The following is a 653-nucleotide window of genomic DNA, read 5'->3' as shown; positions in this document are numbered from 1 at the left end:
AAACTTTTTTTTCTCCTTTTCTATAGCAACCTGTTTTTATAGTTTTGGATGCAATATCTGAATATCCTATCAAGCTTCCCTGAGAATACAAATCAGAATTTTTTCCTTAGATCGTCTCAGTTCTGTGAAAAATTGCTTTTTCCTCAGGGGTCATTATTATTTTTGTAATGTGCTCATTTGATTCCTCTCACTGGTGTCGTGATTTGTCTTGGCTATCTGCTAATGCTTGAGTCTCTCTTCGTGAAGGAATGGATTGGTGAAACTCAGGCACAGCTGTGAGCTTTTTCTATAGATTTTTCCTTCAATAGGCCTTTCTCCTGAATCCTCATTTTGGTGTTTGGCTATTTGCTCATCACTTTTGCTCTCTAAACTAAAGCCTATGAAGTTCTCTGAAGTACCTGGATCACCAAGGGTAACTATAATCCTACCCAAATAAATTATTTACTATTTTAGAGAATAGCTTCTACTTTGGTTAAATGGTGGTGCCACCCATCATTCTGTATAGTCAGGGGCCTGGAACAGAGAGGCTGGCTGAGCAGAGCAGGCATTCTAGTGGCTGAAGGAGATTTCTCTTTCTGTTTCCCTTTCTACTCTCTATGCCTGCCTCTGCCTAGCCAGAAGCCTATCAAGGGTTCAGCCATGAAGAATGGCTT

The 653-nt window shown here is 40.1% G+C and overlaps 1 annotated feature.

The window, feature by feature from the left end:
- Positions 444-653: an enhancer, noted in NCBI's record as "active region_28788". NCBI's record gives its function as "activates an Ori minimal core promoter by ATAC-STARR-seq in GM12878 lymphoblastoid cells {active_cell/tissue: GM12878}" and the evidence as "EXISTENCE:reporter gene assay evidence [ECO:0000049][PMID:35858748]".

Source organism: Homo sapiens, chromosome 9, assembly GCF_000001405.40.
Source record: "Homo sapiens chromosome 9, GRCh38.p14 Primary Assembly".
In the NCBI taxonomy this organism is placed as follows: domain Eukaryota; kingdom Metazoa; phylum Chordata; class Mammalia; order Primates; family Hominidae; genus Homo; species Homo sapiens.
The sequence above is the reverse complement of the archived record's forward strand: the minus strand, read 5'-3'. Positions and strand labels throughout refer to the sequence as shown.